Raw genomic sequence first — 19,181 nt, forward strand, 5'->3', positions numbered from 1 at the left:
TTTCCTATTAGGTGAATATTTTTCCTATAATGTGAAGATATTTTGGTATAATTGAGTCCTTATTATGTACCAGGAATTTGTATATATTATCTAATGATTTGATAAAAAGTGTTTTATGCGTTTCGTAAACTCAGATAGTTTTCCTTAAAATATAAGAACAGAGCCCTTTATATTGAGTCTGTCTTCCTGTAAGTTTCACTCATTAATCCTATACATTTTCACTTCTTTATAGGACTGCTCTAAAATAATTTATACCCCACCCACAAAAGGCTTCTCAAAGCCAAATCATGCATCTCCAGATCCCTTTAGGAAATAATTTCCGATGATTTACCATTAGAACATCCCTCTGCTAGTTAAAGTCTAATCTGCCAGTATAGTGTTCCTTCCAGCCTGTGGCACCCACTCCAGCCTATCTCATGTCATTCATTAAAAAGCAGTAAGTGTTTAGTCTTTTGGACTTTTACAGGGAGGACTAAGTAATAAAATGTAAAAATCTACATATATTTTTATGGGCTTTACTCTGGTCACTTTTATGGTCTAACACACACAGATGTGTGGAGTCTTTATTAGTTTACACTAAAATGCAAGAGCATTAAGCTAGATATAGACGAAAAGAGAAAGTCAAAGTAGATTTCAAAATAGCCAAAAGCTCACATTATACGTTTCTTAATGTTAAAAAAAAAATCCCAAATGATGGAGATCCTGTAATTCACTTTCTTGAAAGCTAATTTACCCTCCTCTAAGTTTGCCATCACATTCTTAAATTTAAGCTGACATTCCTTCTATTTTCCTATTTCTAATAGGTTTTCCTGGTGTTTTTTTGTTTGTTTGTTTTTTGGTTGTTCTGTTTTGTTTCTCTGTTGTTTTCTGCCTGCAGATCTTAATTCTTTGAGTGCACTGCCTTGCCTGTTTTTCTAGAATTCCCAATCAAATGTTGATCCTGTCAGAAAGTCACAGGGTCAGTTTCATGGTTGGAGTCATCGGACAGATGGACTAGATTGAACTCTACAGCGCAATCTAGTCAACTCTGAGATGTCTGCCTTGTGTCTTCTCAGCATCCCATTTCCATGTATTTTCTCTATTTGGAAGTAGTATCCATATTGAAATTCCTCCATCCAGTGGTGCCCAGAGCTTTCTTGGTTTCTTATGCGTTATCAAATATCTGCTCCCAGAGTGAGAGCAGGATTACTGTCCCTTCCAAGGGCACTCACCTTTAAATAGAGATGAAAGTCTTCAGCTAAAGGTAAGAAAGTTATATATTAAGAGCAGGCATAGCCAGCAGGGTTGGGGAAAGTTCTTCTTAGGCAAAGACCTTTGTAAAGCACTCTGAAATCATCCTCTATAGATTCCTCAGTATTTTTCTCAAACATGAGTTTGGGCCTTTCCAAAGGAGCCAAGGCAGGGTAAATAATCCATGTTTCATTCAATAAACTATATTTGAGAATTTTTTTTTCAGTGAATCGCCATTATACAAAGTCTTTCTCCTTAAATTTTTTTCATGGAGAGACAACTTTGTATACCAGAAAGAACTTGGACTATGGATCCAGTTTGAATTCTGTTTCTGGGATTTTAGTAACTGTGAAACCTTGAGTCTCAACATCGTCATCCTAATAAAAATGTGTAAAACAATGTAGTTATCATGGGATTGTTGCAAGAAGGCAAAGAATCAGCATTTGTTAAATATTTTTCCTGGTACATTTCATATATAATCTAATACTCATAAAGATCCTATGAAGATTCAATGAGATGATGTAGATAAAATCATTTAATACAAAGGTTGGCACATAATACTTTCTCCTTCCCTTCATTAGTTCCAACTGCTAAAAATCTCAGTACCACAATGCGCTTTGAAAGTCATATTACACTACCTATTTTTATTTTGAATAACAGACTCCTGGTGGACTTTCCGGAAATAGAATCTAAATTTCCATAAGCTCAAGGGCATCTGGGCACGTAGTTAATACTGAAGAGTGATGGTAGTACATAAAACCAATGTCCTCAGCCTCCCAACAAAGCCCAGCTACAACCACCTTTATTGCCCTACCCTTTCCCATGCTCTACCACTGGCAGGTTCTCAAAGTAGCCCATGCTTCCCAATCTCTGTGCTTTTGATCAAGCAATTTCCTTTGTGAGAAATGCCCTTCCTCCCTCCCAAGTCCTCCAGTCAATTTCTGAGCTTTTCCAGAATAGATCAAATTCTGCTCACTCCAGATGTCTTATTAATCTTTTCCTTCCCTCTTTTCTGTTTTTTTTCCCCCTCTCCCAGAGACTGCATCACAGTCTACCTTATGTTAGAGTTATTAAGGGGTTTGTATCACGATTTGAGGAAATGGATAATCTCTTCTTTTCCTTCTTCTTCCAATGGTGGCTGATACAGTCTTTTATGCATGATAGATGTTGTTGAATTGATTTTCTGGTCATTATTATGAAGTTATTATTGCAAACAATCTACAGTAAACATTTCAACTCTATGGAAACTTAATTGTATCAACCTTATATTTCTTTGTGTAGTCATAAAAACTTTTTTTAGTTTTAATTTAATATACACTTTTTCACTATGTACACTCTTCTCATTTACCATTTAACGGGCTTCAAAAATTATAGCTGACCACTAAACAATGTGAGGGTCAAGAGAACAAACCCTCCCATACAGTCAAAAATCCATATAATATTTTACTCCCCCAGAACTACTAATAGCATATTGTTGACCAGAAGCCTTACTGATAATATAAAGAGTCAACCCATATTTTATATATGTATCTTATTCTGTATTTTATAATAAAGTAAGCTAGAAAAATGAAAATATTATTAAGAAAATCATAAGGAAAAGAAAATATATTTATTATTCATTAAGCGAAATGGATAATCCTAAAGGTCTTCATTCTTGGCATCTTCATGTTGAGTAGGCTGAGGAGGAGATAGAGAAGCGATCGGTCTTGCTGTCTCAGGGTGGCAGAGTCGGAAGATAATCCACGTGTGAGTAGACTCATGCAGCTCAAACCCATATTGTCCAAAGGTTAATCGTATTCTTAGGAAAATACAGTTTTAAAGGATCATGTTCTGATTTAAATTGCTTGTGTGTTGTGAATAATCTACCAATCATTTTTTCCTGTGATAGTTACCAAAGCTATGAACATTTGGAGGGATATGTTAAAGGGAATAAGAGCTACAAAAAATTGAGACAAAGAAATAATATTTAAGTCTAGCTGCGAATACACCTTCATTTTTGTAGAGGCTAGGTAGTCAACGTTTGTTTAAAAGCCATACATTTGTGATCTCTCCCCGTCCACATCCTCCTGAGAAAGGTCCTTTGCTCTTTAGCTTGGATGTCTCCTTATCTCAGCCCCAGTTCTGCAAGGATTCAGCTTTAGATGCATTCTGAGGCCTCTCCTCTCTTACCCACACCAAGGGAACACCCTACGCTATGACAGAAACTAGGTCTTGGCCTCTGATTTTACGCGTTTCCAAAGTAACTACTCTACTGGAGGCCTCCAACACTCAGAAGCTGACAAGTAGTAATGCTCATCTTTTTTACCTCCTAAAAGCTGATCATGCAGAAGGCATGTTAGATCATACAGAACTGAAGCATCTTCCCTTTTCTGAGTCTCTCCTTTCCTCCCTTCTGTTCATTCCTTTATTCCTTTGCACTACATTTCTTTTTCTCTTTCTCATCTCCACTTAAAATTTCTTTCAATTTTTCTTTCTATCCAACTTTTAAGTCAATCCATACAACTTGGATATATGCCTTCAAACTGAGTTAAAAGGAAAATACTAATAGTTTTATCTCTCATGAAAGCAATAATTAAAATGACACCATCTAATAATTTAATGTAAAAGGAGGGAAAAATTCTATTTGTATTCAACTCTTTTGTTTGGGCCTATAAATGAAGAACTATAATTTTGTAAATTATAGTTTAATTTTAGAAATAAAAATGACCTCTTCCCTAATATATTTTAAGTTGCATTTTAATTACAATTTGTAAGGTAGGGCAGACTTACAGACCATCCATATCCCTTTTCATGTGAAGTATCTGTCAGCCTCTGGACCACAGTAAACTTTGTCATTCACAGAGTGGATTCTTTTTTGGAACATACGTGATAAACAAATTGAAATAAAACTTCACTTTAGTTATAAAAACTTGTAGTTATAAGGACTTTTGAGAACCTTGCAGTCCATTTTTTTTACCTTCTATTTGAAATTCCAAACTAATTTCATTGTACTTGTAACAATCTTCCAAGAACTGCAATCCTCAAGTTCTCTCTTTGTTATCCACTTCATGGTTTCACTGTGGTCACTGCATCATTTTTTACCCCTATACGCATCTTGCTTAAGATAAACCCAGTGGTTACTTAATTTTTTTTTTAATTCTTCTTTGTTTTCATTCTTTTTAAAGAGGAACAGTAAAATAAGTAGTTAGGTTTTGTGTTTGTTTTTGCTTTCAGTACTGGAATCTGCTTGGTCCAACTTAGGTAGAGAATCTTGGGCTCCAGAGCGCATAGTTTGAAAAGATGGAAAACGTTGTTCTGAAATTTGCATTAATCTACTTTAGATTCAAAAATTCCACATAGGCTGGGTGTGGTAGGTGGCTCATGCCTATAGGCCCAGCACTTTGGGAGGCCGAGGCAAGGAGGATCACTTGAGCTCTCAAGACCAGTCTGGAAACATAGCAAGGCCTCATCTCTACAAAAAATGAAAAAAAATTACCTGGGTGTGATGGCACATGCTTGGAAGCTGAAGTGGGAGGACTGCTTAAGCCCAGGGAGGATACAGTGAGCAACGATTGCACCACTGCACTCCAGCCTGAGCAACAGAGCAAGATCATGTCTCTTAAAAAATATATGTATATTTTGCATAGAGTGTCTCATGATGACTGAATAAAAGAAGTCCAGTGGTTAACTAATCTATAATTAATCATAGAAGCAAGAGGTTTCTGACAAAATGTATTCAGCAGCTTTAAATATGAAACCCACAAATTATATTTCCAGAGGTCAAATTTGCATATAACTCCTTGAACTATGACTATCTCCTCACATTCAACTCAGTTTTAAGATCCAGCAGTGTGTTGTACAAAGTAATCAATGGCTAAATTATTCCCATTTTGTTAGCTCAGTTCACAGTAGCCCACTGACTGGTTTAAACAAAAAAAAAAACTTATCTGATCTTCAGTTTGTATTTCAACTGTACCCAAGTGCAGATGCCATCTCTGGTAATATGACAAAACAGATTTAGGTTTCTAAATGTTTCTGTATGCTCCAATAACAGTATGCAGCCTGCAGTAACTATATCGTAGCTCAAAGTGTTGTAAAAAAATGCAACTGAGTTTGCTGAAGAATCATTTTAGAGTTAATTAAACCTTCTCCACCTGTAATTTAATAAAAAAAAGAAAGCCCAACATACTCTTAAAGACGATGGGGGAAAGGCAGTTTAAGAAATAAAAGTCCTCTGTTTATCCAGGGAGGTACTTTACAAGGCAGACAGCTACACCACAGTAGAGAGACAATATTTCCTCAGCTGAGTCGGTTAATTAAAATGCACAGTTACAACAGACTTTCTTAGAGCCTGCAGCTGAATGACTGAAGTCTCCATTTTACTCCAGTGTCACACAGAACATGAAGAGGCAAACATACTGCCTGAACACAATTTGACTCACTAAAATCCAGCACTATAAACACAAAATACATTTCTCGAGTGCATTTTAAAAGACTTATTATCAAGATTTATGACATAAGGATAGAAATAATTTGCAACTAGGCACTGCCAGGAGAATATCTTAGGTTCCTCTCAAGGTAATTTTAAGTAAAATTTACAAATAAATCTTAAGGTTAGAGTCCACTTTGAACGCAGGAATCTTCACCTCTTTCCTTTCAACTGTATGGAATTTGAATCTGACAAACAACCTGTCTGTTGCTAGAATTTATAAGTGATCTGAAAAAAAATCAAAGGCCATAAAAGCTATTTGTCAAATAAACTGCAGAACACGATATCAGTCTGCAGGGCTCATTTGCAGAACTCATGATGAGCATGGGAGGAGGGGATGCTAACAGCTGCAGCCTTGACCGCACTGCCCGTGCCAGCCAGAATTCAAGCCGCGTGAGCTGAGTGTGGCTGAAAGAGGGAGCACACAAATGACATCTTAGAAGACAAAAGCAAAAAATGACAAAAGAGGTTCTTATATCCAAGTTTTTATTATATCAGTACATCAGCATATACAGAGGATGACCTAAAAAAACCACTTTAAGATAGATGGGCCGGCAGAGTTTTAAAGGTTTTCAAATTAAGTCTGTTCGTGGAAGACTTACTTTGATTTCATGGTGTAGGAGGGAGATCGTAGACTTCGAATCCACTAGACCTGAAGTTAAATAAACCTGGGGTGCAGTTTTGGTTAGCCTGGTAGCACGGCATGGTATCAGTTTCCTCATCTGTAAAATGGGAACAATACTTCATGTCCCAGCACAATTTTGAGGATAAATTGAGATAACATATGTTTGCAGGCACAGCAGGTGTCAGTAAAAGTTAGTTTTCTCCTGTCGTTTGCTAGATATTTTCACAATGCAGCAAGTTGATTCAAGTGGTGAAGTGGAAATTCTCACATTAAACACATAAATTGCCAAGTCTGCAATATATAAAAAATGATTAAATGTCCTTGACGCTTACCAATCATTATTAAATCAAACCTGAAAAGGATCTACCAGCAATTTGCAAGCCCGTTATTAATATCCTTTAATGGACTTGCTCTATTAAGTATTCTTCTGTAACAATGTTGTTCAGCAACACAACAGAAAAATTCTGTTGTTAGTATTGTGTTTCTTCTAGTAATTCAACATCATTTCCATTTCATAAACATTACTTGAGGAATTAGTTCCATTATCCTACAAATCTCTCTTTAAAACATTGCCATAATGTCTCTCTCTCTCTCTCTCTCTCTCTCTCTGTGTGTGTGTATGTGTGTGTGTGTGTCTGCGTGTGTGTGCATGTGTCTCTCTCTTTCCCTTTTTTCTCCTTCCTCACTTTCTCACTCTCTCTTTCCTTTCTCTACCCCAAACATGGACATATCACACCTTCCCATACTCAGCACTCAAGAGAACATGCTATTGTTATTACAGTAAACCAAAATGGTCTGAGAACTTAGTAACTATTACATTTCTAGTGTGAAATAATTTAGGCATTTAAAGGAAGAAAACACAATATCAATATTTATGTTTTTAAAAATTCCAGTAGAGTCTGTGAAATGATGGCTAAATTAAGCAAAAGCAAATTAATCAAAGAGTTACAAAGGAAGAATTCCAATGGGCACTTAATGAGCACCTATAATGTGCAGGCACATAGGTTGACTTTTCTTTCTTCCCAGGGCAAACAAAATAGCTTCTCAGGGCAAGGGATATCAGAAATTTGGAGTCACATTAATAGGAAAAGCACTGAGTTAATTGACTGGCTTTGGAAATTTACTTCACAAAGCATTGGATTTTCTCAAGAGACAAATTTGATACATGTCCTTCACTGGAGACATGAAAATAATTCGTTCTTTTTAAAGACTTTGAAAAGAGCAGAGACGAGAAAAGCTAGAAGAGTTTCTAAATGACACAAGATCTGTGAAATGATAGATATTTAGCATAAACCTCATAGAGCTGTTGTGTGGATTCATTAGTTAATTAGTTAGTTAATGACTTTGAAGTGTTAAATCTTATTAGATTTTTTTTTACACTTTAACACATCTGAGAGAGAAATTACTCTTAAATTAGAAACTGACTATACCACTCAAAAAGACCATCTTTTTATGGTATATCTTCAAGATGCTCTTTCCTGTTCTGAATTTTTTTCCTGAAATCCTGGGAAGCCTATCTACATCCTGATCCCAAATCCAATTCCCCCACCCTTTTTTTTTTTTTCAGTATTAGCATTGGCTTCCAGTTAACACTAAGCACAGCCTTAAGAAACTCTCACGGCGAGGTGTTTTGTATAAAAATATAAAGATGTTATGTGGTAATAATGGCATCAAGAATTAAACATGCTACTTAAACATAGTTTTGTACTTTTGTACAGCAGGGGAAAACAAATACAGGCATACCTCAGAGATATTTCAGGTTTGGTTCCAGAACCCCACCATAAAGTGCATATCGCAATAAAATGAGTCACACAAATTTTTTGGTTTCCTAGTGAATATAAAAGCTATGTTTATGCTGTACTGTAGTCTATTAAGTGTGCAGTAGCACTATGTCAAAGAAACAATGTGCTTATAATTTAAAAATACTTTATTGCTAAAAAGTGCTCATGATCATCTGATCCTTTAGAGAATCACAATCTTTTTGCTGGTGTAGGGTCTTTCCTTGATGTTGATGGCTGCAGACAGATCAGGGTGGTGGTTGCTAAAAGTTGAGGTGACTGTGGCAATTTCTGAAAATAAGATAACAAGGATGTCTGCTGCATTGGTTGACTCTTTCATGAAAGATTTCTCTATAGCATATGGTGTTGATTGATAGCATTTTATTCACAGTAGAACTTCTTTCAAAATTGAAGTCAATCCTCTCAAACTCTGCCACTGCTTCATCAAATAAGTTTATAAGTTTATGAAATATTCTAAATCATTTGTTATTATTTCAACAATATTCACAACATCTTCACCAGGAGAAGATTTTATCTCAAGAGACAACTTTCTCTGTTCATCCATAAGCAGCAACTCCTCATCCATTCAAGTTTGATCATGAGGTTGCAGCAATTCCATTCCATCTTCACACTCCATCTCTAATTCTAGTTCCCCGCTATTTCCACCACATCTTCAGTTACTTCCTCCACTGAAGTCTTGAACCTCTCAAAGTCATCCATGAGGGTTGGAATCAACTTCTTCCTAACTCCTATTAATGTTGATGTTTTGACTTCCTCTCATGAATCACGAATGTTCTTAGCAACATTTAGAATGGTGACTCTTACCTTAAAGGTTTTCAATTTACTTTGCCCAGATCCATCAAAGGAATTATTATCCAAGGCAGCATGAGACTTATAAAAGGTTTCCAATTTACTTTGCCCAGATCCATCAAAGGAATTATCATCCAAGACAGCAAGAGACTTATAAAAGGTATTTCTTAAATAATACTCTTTGAAAGTCAAAATTATTCCCTGATTCATAGGCTGCAGAATGGATGCTTTGTTAGCAGGCATGAAAACAACATTAATCTCCATGTATATGTCCATCAGAGCTCTTGGGTGACCAGATGCATTATCAGTGAGCAGTAATACTTTGAAAGGAATCTTTTTTTAGCACTAGGACTCAACAGGAGGCTTAAAATGTCCAGTAAACCATGCTATAAACACATGTGCTATCATACAGGCTTTGCTGTTCCACTTACACAGCACAGGCAGAGTTGATTTAGCATCATTCTTAAGGGCCCCAGGATTTTCAGAATGGTAAATGAGCACTGGCTTCAACTTAAAGTCAGCAGCTGCACTAGCCTCTAACAAGAGACTCAGCTTGTCCTTTGGAGCTTTGAGGCCAGGCATTGACTTCTCCTCTCTAGCTATGGGGGTCCTAGATGGCATCTTTTTCCACTAGAAGATTATTTAGTGTAAGTTAAAGTTCTGTTGTATAGTGTAACCACCTTCATCAATTATCTTAGCTAGATCTTCTGAATAACTTGTTGCAGCTTTTACATCATCACTTCCACTTCAAGCGTTGTGCTGTTTTACTTTGCACTTTTATGTTATGAAGATGGCTTCTTTCTGTAAACCTCATGAACCAACCTCTTCTACCTTCAACCTTTCCTTCTGCAGCTTCCTCCCTTCTTTCAGCCTTTGTAGAATTGAAAGGATCTAGGGCTTTACTCTGGATTAGGCTTTGACTTAAAGGGAATGTTGTGGATGGTTTGATCTTCTCTCCAGACCACTAAAATGTTCTCCATATCAGCAATAAGTCTGTTTTGGTTTCTTATCATTCATGTGTTCACTGGAGTAGCACTTTTCATTTTCTTCAAGAACTTTTCCTTTGCACTAACAACTTGGCTAGCTATTTGGCAAAAGAGGCCTAGCTTTCAACCTATTTCAGCTTTCAACATGCCTTCCTCATTAAGCTTTATCATTTTTATCTTTTGATTTCAAGTGAGATAAATGTGACTCTCTTTTACTTGAACACTTAGAGACCACTGTAGGGTTATTAATGGGTGAAATTTCAACTTTGATGTGTCTCAGGGAATAGGGAGGCCCACAGTAAGGGAGGGAAATAGAGAATGGCTGGTCAGTGAAGCGGTCAGGACATATTTATTGATTAAGTTTGTCAGATTCTATGGTTGTAGTTTGAAGGACCCCAAAACAATTACAGTAGTAACATCAAAGATCATGGATCACAGATCACCATAATAGATATAATAATCATGAAAATGTTTAAAGATGTGGCAATAATTAACAAAATGTAACACAGAGACATGAAATGAGCACATGCTGTTGAAAAACAGAGCTCATAGACTTGCTTGAAACAGGGTTGCCACAAAACTTCAGTTTGTAAAAATCATAATATCTGCAAAGTGCAATAAAATGCAGTACAATAAAATGAGGTGTGCCTGCACTCTGTTGGATAATTAATTCTGTGAGAAAATAGAGAGGGAGAGAATTGGAATCCAATGATAATTATCTTATTCTTTGGAAATAGTGATCACATTTTGACCTGCATGCTGGAAAGTTGAGAAAGGATAGCAGCAGCATAATTAAGTTAGCAATATTTTAATATGTGAGAGACATTTGTATAGTTTAAACAAAAACTTTTTTTGTTGGCATATAATATACATAGAGAAAAGTGCACATATGGTCAATGTACAGCTTGATGAATAACTGAGCACACACAAGTTCTCTGCACACAGATCAAGAAACAGAACACATCAGCAGTGTTTCAAAGCCCCCTCTAGTTCTTCCAATCACTATTCCCATACCCAAGGTAACCACTACTGTTACCTGTAACAGCATAGGGTAGCTTTATCTGTTTTGGTACTTTACATAAACGCAATCATAAAGCATGTACTTTTGAGTCTCACTTATTTCTCATTTGACATCATGTTTTACAAGATTCATCTATATTCTTGAGTGTAGTTGTAGAACTACATATTTCTCATCTCTGTCCCTCCCCATTTTCTCTCCCCACCACACCCAGGCACACACATAGAATTAATCCCCCTCTTATTCAAATGATGGATCTACGTATGTACTTGGAAGTTCTTGATAAACTTCTTTTTTCATGTATTCCACAGCATGAATGACTCAGGAATTGCTAATGAAAATTTTCCTACAGTCTCTTTTCTTGGCGCTGGTAAATCTTAATCTTAGAATATTTTGCATTTTTAAAATCTATTCATGTACACAACCAGCTCCAAGAAGGACACTGAGGTAATCATCTTTTTAAGTTGCCCTTGTTTTCAGCCCCAAATCCCTGACTTTTACTTAATCTCTCCAGGGCAGCCTTCTTTCTGTCTCTGGCCTTCAACTTAGAAAGCCAGCCCTACTCTAATGATTGTATTAGAAAAAACTTGCATAAACTACTTTACACCAAGGTGTTCATGCCTAAATCTTTATCTTTCCAAGGTATGGCCCCAGGACAGTGTTGTAACTTAGAGGACCAATTACTCTCTGATTACTCTCTAATGGGGTATCTTGTACAGATGCATTTCTTGAGTTGTTCTGAGGTCCCACTATATTAAAGGACACTAAGAAACAGAGCTATCACACTCAATGCTGGTTTTACTATTAGAACATTATTGAAATTACCATTTCACTATATCACAAGGTATTTTCTTTATGAGGGTCCATGGGGAAAGGGGAATGGTTCTGCTTCTTCTACATAACTTTATTTTAAAATGTGTTGTTATTTAAGCAACTGAGCCTGCCCTCTTTGTTTCCCCCACCCTCTCTCACTCTGTCTCCCTCTCCCCTGCTGAAAATATAAAAAAGCATCAGAGACAAACACTAATAAATTTCCAGAGACTAATAAGTTTCTAGGACTTCATAATTTGTATTTTTTCCCTACCTTTCTCACCCTTGGTTTCACATACTTTTTCTTTCATTCTGTTTTCAAATATTTTTTTCTTTTTTTAATCTTGATAAATTTAGGGAAAATACAGATTAACTCAATAAAATATACTATTTCTTAAAGAAAAAATTTTAATCACTGACACTAAGTTAGGCTGGCCAAGAGAGGAAAATGCAGTCATGTGGCGCTTAGCGACAGGAATAGGTTCTGAGAAATGCATCATTAGGCAATTTTGTCATTGTGCGAACATCACAGAGTGTACTTACATAAACCTAGATGACAGTCTACTACACACCTAGGCTATATGGTATAGGCTATTGCTGTTAGGCTAGGAACTTACTTGTATAGCAAGTTACTGTATAGAATGCTGTAGGCATTTGTAACACAATGGTATTTGTGTAGCTACGCATATCTAAACATAGAAAAGGTAGGATAAAAACACAATATCATAACTTGTGGGATCACCATCATATATGTAGTCCCTCATTGGCCACAACATTGTTATTGTAGTGCATCACTGTATATTTTAGGGAGAGGGCTCTTCTCGAAATTCTCAAATTATGCCCACTTGGTGAACTGTGATCAGACAGACTGAAAAACCTGGTAGTTGAGGCATCGTATAACATAGTACCATGTACAAAGAAAGTTTTAATAAAGCTTTTCTGAATGCATTGACCAAAGATATTTTCCAACAAGCAAAATGGACAGAATGGGGAGAATGTCTAGGAAATATCTAGATCAAGGATAGGATAAAAGACAAATGCACTTGCGTAACAACATGGAGATGCGTTTTTAAGAGAGCAGACCTGTTACTACATGTGTTATGTGACACTTTGTGACAACTGACCGATTCTTATTTTCAATGCTCTCAATTAAAGATCTACTTGGGAAGATTTTATTAATGTGTTATTTATCTAAGAGTCATTGATTTATGGAGCTTAACCATAAGATATAGCATGGCTCATTTTCATTATAAAATTTATATCTACAGGAAGAATACCACAAGGACATGGGGTGTTCTATCCTGGACTGGTAAACCACATATGCAATCACACCAACTGATGAAATTGAACATATTAAATGATAACAATCTGTTATTTGCTCCCTTCATTCCTATGATCCTATTAAAATGAAGTAAAAAAAATCCCAGAAACTCAATGTGAATCCATAAATCATAACATAAAGCAGTCCAATATAATACTTCAGTGAAATGTTCTTTTCAGTAAAAGAGAGGGAGGAGAAGGTGTCAAGTGTGGGTCTCTTAATTAGGCTTTGTATTAATTTTGAGAACAAAGACATAATTCCAGATCAGATAAATTATAATTGTGTTATTTTTTTCTTTGCTGTTAAAGCTATTTGATTAGGAGACTCTGGAAAAAGCATGTAATCTTGCAAACAAATATAACAAATTTATTGTCAAACATTAGCAAAAATTTATAATCTGCATTGATAACATTCCTAAAGTATTCAATGGAGCCATTCAGCAATATGAAAGAATGCAGGCAAATTTCTATGATTAGTATTTATTCAAATATATATTTTGCCAAATCAATAATAAATTTACTGAGAAACTATCAGTTGTGGAAATATTATGATAAACATCCCCTTTAAAAATCACTATGGCCAGACCAGGTGCTGTGGGCTCATGCCTGTAATCCCAGCACTTTGGGAGGCCGAGGCAGGTGGATCACCTGAGGTCGGGAGTTGGAGACCAGCCTGACCAACATGGAGAAACCCCGTCTCTACTAAAAAAATACAAAATTAGCCTGGCGTGTTGGCATATGCCTGTAATCCCAGCTACTTGGGAGGCTGAGGCAGGAGAATTGCTTGAACCCAGGAGGCGGAGGTTGCAGTGAGCCAAGATCGCGCCATTGGACTCCATCCTGGGCAACAAGAGCAAAACTCCATCTCAAAATAAAAAAAAAAAAAAGTCACTATGGCCAATATGAAAATTAGGACCTGTTAGGTTGAAAACATCCAGTCTGCAGTGAGTATAGGATTAAACATGATTGGAGTACCACTACGTATGTTTCAAATGCTTATAGTATGTGAAAATTAAAGTCCATTTTCTTATGCTTGGCAAATACCAGCAGACTTGCTAGACACAGGCAGCAGCCTCCAATTTCACAGGGCTTGTGTTCCCAATGCACACCTAAAAGGATAGCTTTCTCACATGTTTTGTGATTCTAACAATGTGTGCAGAGAGGAATGGATACTGTAACTATGAAATGGAAAAGCTCTAGATTTCTGAGTGGTTCAGAATCACGGGCCTAAAGCCAGACATTAAATAGAAAACTTGTCACTTCACAGCTCAGAAAGTTCTAACATCTCCCCATGACTTAACACAATCTGGGCTCAACCTAGTCTTTCTGTTTCTCTATGCAATTACTCTTAATACCAATATGCTCCAACAAAACCATGATTTACCACTCTTTGAACGTCTCCTTCAGGGTCTATCTCTAATTTGCTCAAATTATTTCTTCTGCCTGGAACATTGCTTTTTGACAAATTATATTTTATAACCAAATTTAACTCTTACATAAACTATTTTCTGATACAACCAAAAGCATTTTTCTTCCCCATTCAACTCTAATTGTATATTATTATTATTTTACTTCTATAGCCATTAAAATTTTCTAACTTGAAGTATATTTACTTATATCTATAATTATCTTCCTTTCAGGGAAATTTTACAGGGAGGAAAAAATCTTACATTTTTTTTGTATCCTAAACATGCTTAAGGCAGGTTTTGAGATATACTATATGTTTAATAAATGTCTGTTTAAAGAATCATATGTGAATACATGAATGTCACACTTGTGAGAGTCTCACTGAGACTCTAGTATATTAAACAAAAGATCCTTATTTCCCTATCTTTGTCAAAATATGTATGATATTTGAGATTTAGTTCATATCATAAAACATTGCATTTAATATATTTTATATATTTTTAATAAATGTTTACCATTTTCAGTTATGTGAATGGCTCCATACAGCAAAAGAACCATTAGAAATATAAAAGCATCATCCTATGAAGTATAAAATTACTCCTGAATTATAAGCAACCTTTGTAGCTACATGCAAAACATTTATTCAGCTGCAACTATTTAATCCTTACAAAAACAAAAAAGCATGAGTTCATATAAGGGCCACACTGTGTGAGGGGCATAGAGAGAGATTTTAGAGGCTTCGCACAGTGCAGGGAGTTTGGTCTTAACCCATTTTATAGGTAAAGAAATTGAGGTGTAATCACATGAGACAGAATTTGAATTCTGATCTGTCGGATTCAGCACCTCTCTTGTCACTGTGCAGAAACTCCCTTTGAATGCTAGATTTCCTCTGAATAGATGGTATGCTTATTTAAATACAAGACAAGTCATTTTGCCTTGCTGCACTGTATTTATCACAAGGCTATTGCCAGCTTTTTCTTTAACATTAAATACACACACACACACACACACACACACACACTGTCTTTTTTTTTTTTTAAGACAGAGTCTTGCTCTGTCACCTGGAGTGCTGGAGTGGCGTGATCTTGGTTCACTGCAACCTCTGCCTCCTGGGTTCAAGCGATTCTCCTGCCTCAGCCTCCTGAGTAGCTGGGATTATAGGCATGCACCACCACCCCTGGCCAATTTTTGTATTTTTAGTAGAGATGGGGTTTCACCATGTTGGCCAGGCTGGTCTCAAACTCCTGACCTCAGATGATCCATCCGCCTCTGCCTCCCAGAGTGCTGGGATTACAGGCATAAGCCACCATGCCCAGCCCAACACCATATCTTTTAAATGGCTTACTATGTTTGAGGCATTGCAATAATGTGTCCCCTAACGTATTTAATTCTTACGACAAATCTATGAGATAGGTACTGTTTACTCATATTCCGGATAGGGAAACTGGGCATAGAAATTTTAAGTAATATATTGAAGATCACAGAGATAGGGCATGAAATGGAATTTGAACCCAAGTCTTTCTTGCTCCTGAATCCAAATTCTTAACCACACTATTGGCTTTTGTTCCTCTCCATTAATCCTGAATGTGATTTATTTTTTTCCCAAAAAGGAAACTGGATTACTTGACCTGCTGTTTGTTCAGAATATTTATTTTAGCATGTGAAACATTTAATACTACACTGGGAAGGGATCTAGAGGACAGAAAGTGGAGGTAGGGGATGCATACAGAGATAGGCTCATCTCACCTGGCCTGATTAAGTTGTTTACATTTTTCAGAAAGCCCATCTCCAAGTCCAGCCCTAAAATAACAGTGAACCTTCATCTTTAATGGACATAAGACCCTGTCTCAGAACTCTTTAGATAAACAGAGCACTTTTCAGAGAGGGAGCTAGTGACCTTGACAAATTGGCTGGCTTTCCTCTCATTCCAGATCCGTGACATTCAGCAGCTAAGCCTAATATGGGAAACAAGTCAATATTTTCCAGCATGCTGGGTCCATTTTCTCCCCCCAATATTTTTAAGCATAAGACAGGTGCAGAAATCACGTCAACCACCACTGGAGGGGTGTACAGCAGCTGTCACACAGCCACACAGTGGCAAAAGTCTTTGCTAAGATCCAAAATGAAAAGAATACTCATTGTAATTGAAACTATGCAGGGGACAGAGCTTCCCAGATGCATACAAAAGTTCTGAGGCTTTGAAAAGAGACAGATGTCACTTTTATACTCAATCTAAGAGCTACTACCTTTCAACAGCTCATCAGGAGGTAAAATCAAATCTTCAGAGACAAAAGACATAAGCAACGCATCTGTAGCAGCCAGAAAGTAAATTTTTTAAGCTACGAAGGGCCTTGGAGACGATTCAGGGTATGCCGTCTTGTTTTTCATTTGATGACATTAGGATATCATACCTAATGGAAAAATTAATTGTGTGTGTATTTATGTGTGTGTGTGTGGAGGCACGCACACATGCATGTGCATCATGATGATGTACTACTTAAGCAATAATGGGCCATTATAGAAGGTAAATCAATTAATTCTAAGTTGACATTGTCATAGTCAGGTAAATTGAGGATCTCTCTGAAAATCCATTTTCCTTTATAATCTGACTTGCAATTATTATCAATGTACCCATTATTTACAGCCAGGGACTCTTCTGCTTGGTTAGTGCTTATGTCCTACTAGTTGTTAAATATTTTGAAAATTAGCCCTGCTTGTAATTTATTATATAATTTCAACAATTTTAAGATAAGCCTGATACAAAAACAGGTTCTTCCCTGGTTAGCTAACCTAAGAGTCAAAAGCCAGCACAGTAGTGTTACAGCCGTTCAGAATGCAAGGTATCCTTTGAAATACTTCCACAGAAGACCTCCAAGTAGTTTTCAAAAACCTGGAGCTATTAATATGATTCCCACTATGTTCTTTACCTTCCACTGAAGAAAACAGAGCCTACTGAGAAACAACTCTAGTGTACAGAGAAACCAACCAGCAAAACCAAGTGGAAGTTTCTATTCAGGTCTGACCTCGGTTATCTTAATCATAAACCTGACCCAGTTGAGCCTCGCTGATGGGCTCATAACTTAGTTCCCTCAAGATCTTTCTGACTTTTGTGTAAGCAACACACAAATCAATCCAGCATATCACTTCTGATATCACAGAAAAGTAATTCTTATGAAGAAGGAAATCATTAATTGTCTTTGAATGTGCACCCACCAATAATTCAAGTTATTAAAGACAAAAATCTTCCCTAGTAAATGCTCACTGCCGGTTGTCTGAAATGAGAGAGTTGAAAATGAATACATGAATCAAGGAGGTTTATTTTAAGATTTTCCATATTTTGATCAAATGGTGATGATTACATTACATTTTTTTTCTGTACTTTCCCAACAAAGAATAAGTCATACCATCATGTTCTTCCAGAAAGACTCTTTGCTTGAAACAGTCTTACTGGCACACCATAGTTAGTTATGACTCATGGGTTTTGTTTTTTTCTAAGATAGCTATAAACTTCAAAGATACATTACCTTATAAAAATAATAAATATTGCTTAGAGAATTTCATCTATTTTCTACATAATAATTTTATCTTTGAAACTTAAAATAGATATCATCCAGATTGTGCTTCTGATATGTTTTATGACATGCTGACACTGTCCTCCTAAGATAATATTAGATGATATAAGTTTTATTTTTTTAAAAATTAGCCCAAGGCTTTGTAGGCCAGGTTCTAGAGACACTGGTCAGTTCAAATCTCAACCAGAAGAGCTATGTGACCTTGGAAAAATAACCCACCCATTCTGAACCTTCATTTCCTCTGCTATAAAATCAGGATAATAATAAAATCTATCTCAAAAGGTTGTTAAGACTATCACAGAAGTTTTGAAATACAAAATAATTAGAACAAAGCTGGTGCATAGTAAGTGCTCGCAAATACTAGCTGTTACTTCCATTCTGGATATGTACATCATAATTCCTAACTTAAAATGCTGGTCAAAAATAAAATTTATGCCTCTACTAGTCAGTAAATCCAGCCTCTTCTAAACATAAAATATTTATTTAAAATAAAGTTTCTAGTATGAAATTTGAAATATATAGATTTTTCTTAATACATTTCAGTATCTGCTTTTATAAATTGAATGTAACCATATAGTATTTGACAGACAAATGTGAATCATGTTGTAAACCATATATTTGAAACTTATCTTAAATTTGTTCTGTGTCTAGTTAAACTAATTTAAAAATCAAGGTTGCTGCTTCTTGAGCTCCTTTTGCAGGGCTCCTCAGTGACTGCAGAGGAGAAATAAAAACGCTTAAAATAGCGAAAATAATGTGACAACATTCAGGCAAAGGCAAGGCTACTATGTACAGGAGAGCATGTTGTGCACTACACGGTCCCGCAATGGATTACAATATTAATGCTGACCTCTTAGGGCAAACTGTAGGCACTGGTCATGCCCCATGGATGAATATGAATACATAAACTTAGCTTCAGTTAAAATTATGTCAAATTGTTAACAGAAGGAAAATGAGGTTTAAAGTCCATTGAAAATTATTTTTAGATAAATTTGGATTAAAATCCAATGTGCTAGCAGGCCTCAAAATGTTAAGTGATTTCCTGAGAAACTGTCACAGCCCAGGTATACCCTTCCTTGGCGGAATCGACTGCTACTTTTTCTTTTTTAATTGCTGAATTGTTCAAGTCTTTCCCACAAAAGGCTGATTATTATAGG

General features: G+C 36.2%; 2 protein-coding genes and 1 long non-coding RNA gene across 9 annotated transcripts in view; 1 reads left to right on the forward strand and 2 right to left on the reverse strand.

Moving 5' to 3' along the window:
- Positions 1 to 19,181, reverse strand: part of CTNNA3 (catenin alpha 3) — a 1,851,072-nt gene that overhangs the window by 1,023,123 nt on the left and 808,768 nt on the right. Inside the window, exon 10 of one of the 7 annotated variants that reach the window (XM_017016152.2) lies at positions 6,301 to 6,420. The exons of the other annotated variants lie outside the window; for them this stretch is intronic. Coding sequence (XP_016871641.1) covers positions 6,301 to 6,420 — 120 coding nt within the window. The remainder of the gene's footprint in view (positions 1 to 6,300; positions 6,421 to 19,181) is intronic. 7 annotated transcript variants of the gene reach the window in all.
- LOC101928961 (uncharacterized) overlaps positions 1 to 19,181 on the reverse strand; it is a 118,044-nt gene that overhangs the window by 41,536 nt on the left and 57,327 nt on the right. The gene's annotated exons all lie outside the window — the stretch shown is intronic.
- The window catches only part of LRRTM3 (leucine rich repeat transmembrane neuronal 3), a 175,516-nt gene that overhangs the window by 9,610 nt on the left and 146,725 nt on the right, over positions 1 to 19,181 (forward strand). The gene's annotated exons all lie outside the window — the stretch shown is intronic.

The sequence above is a fragment of the Homo sapiens genome, chromosome 10 (genome assembly GCF_000001405.40).
Source record: "Homo sapiens chromosome 10, GRCh38.p14 Primary Assembly".
Taxonomy (NCBI): Eukaryota; Metazoa; Chordata; class Mammalia; order Primates; family Hominidae; genus Homo; species Homo sapiens.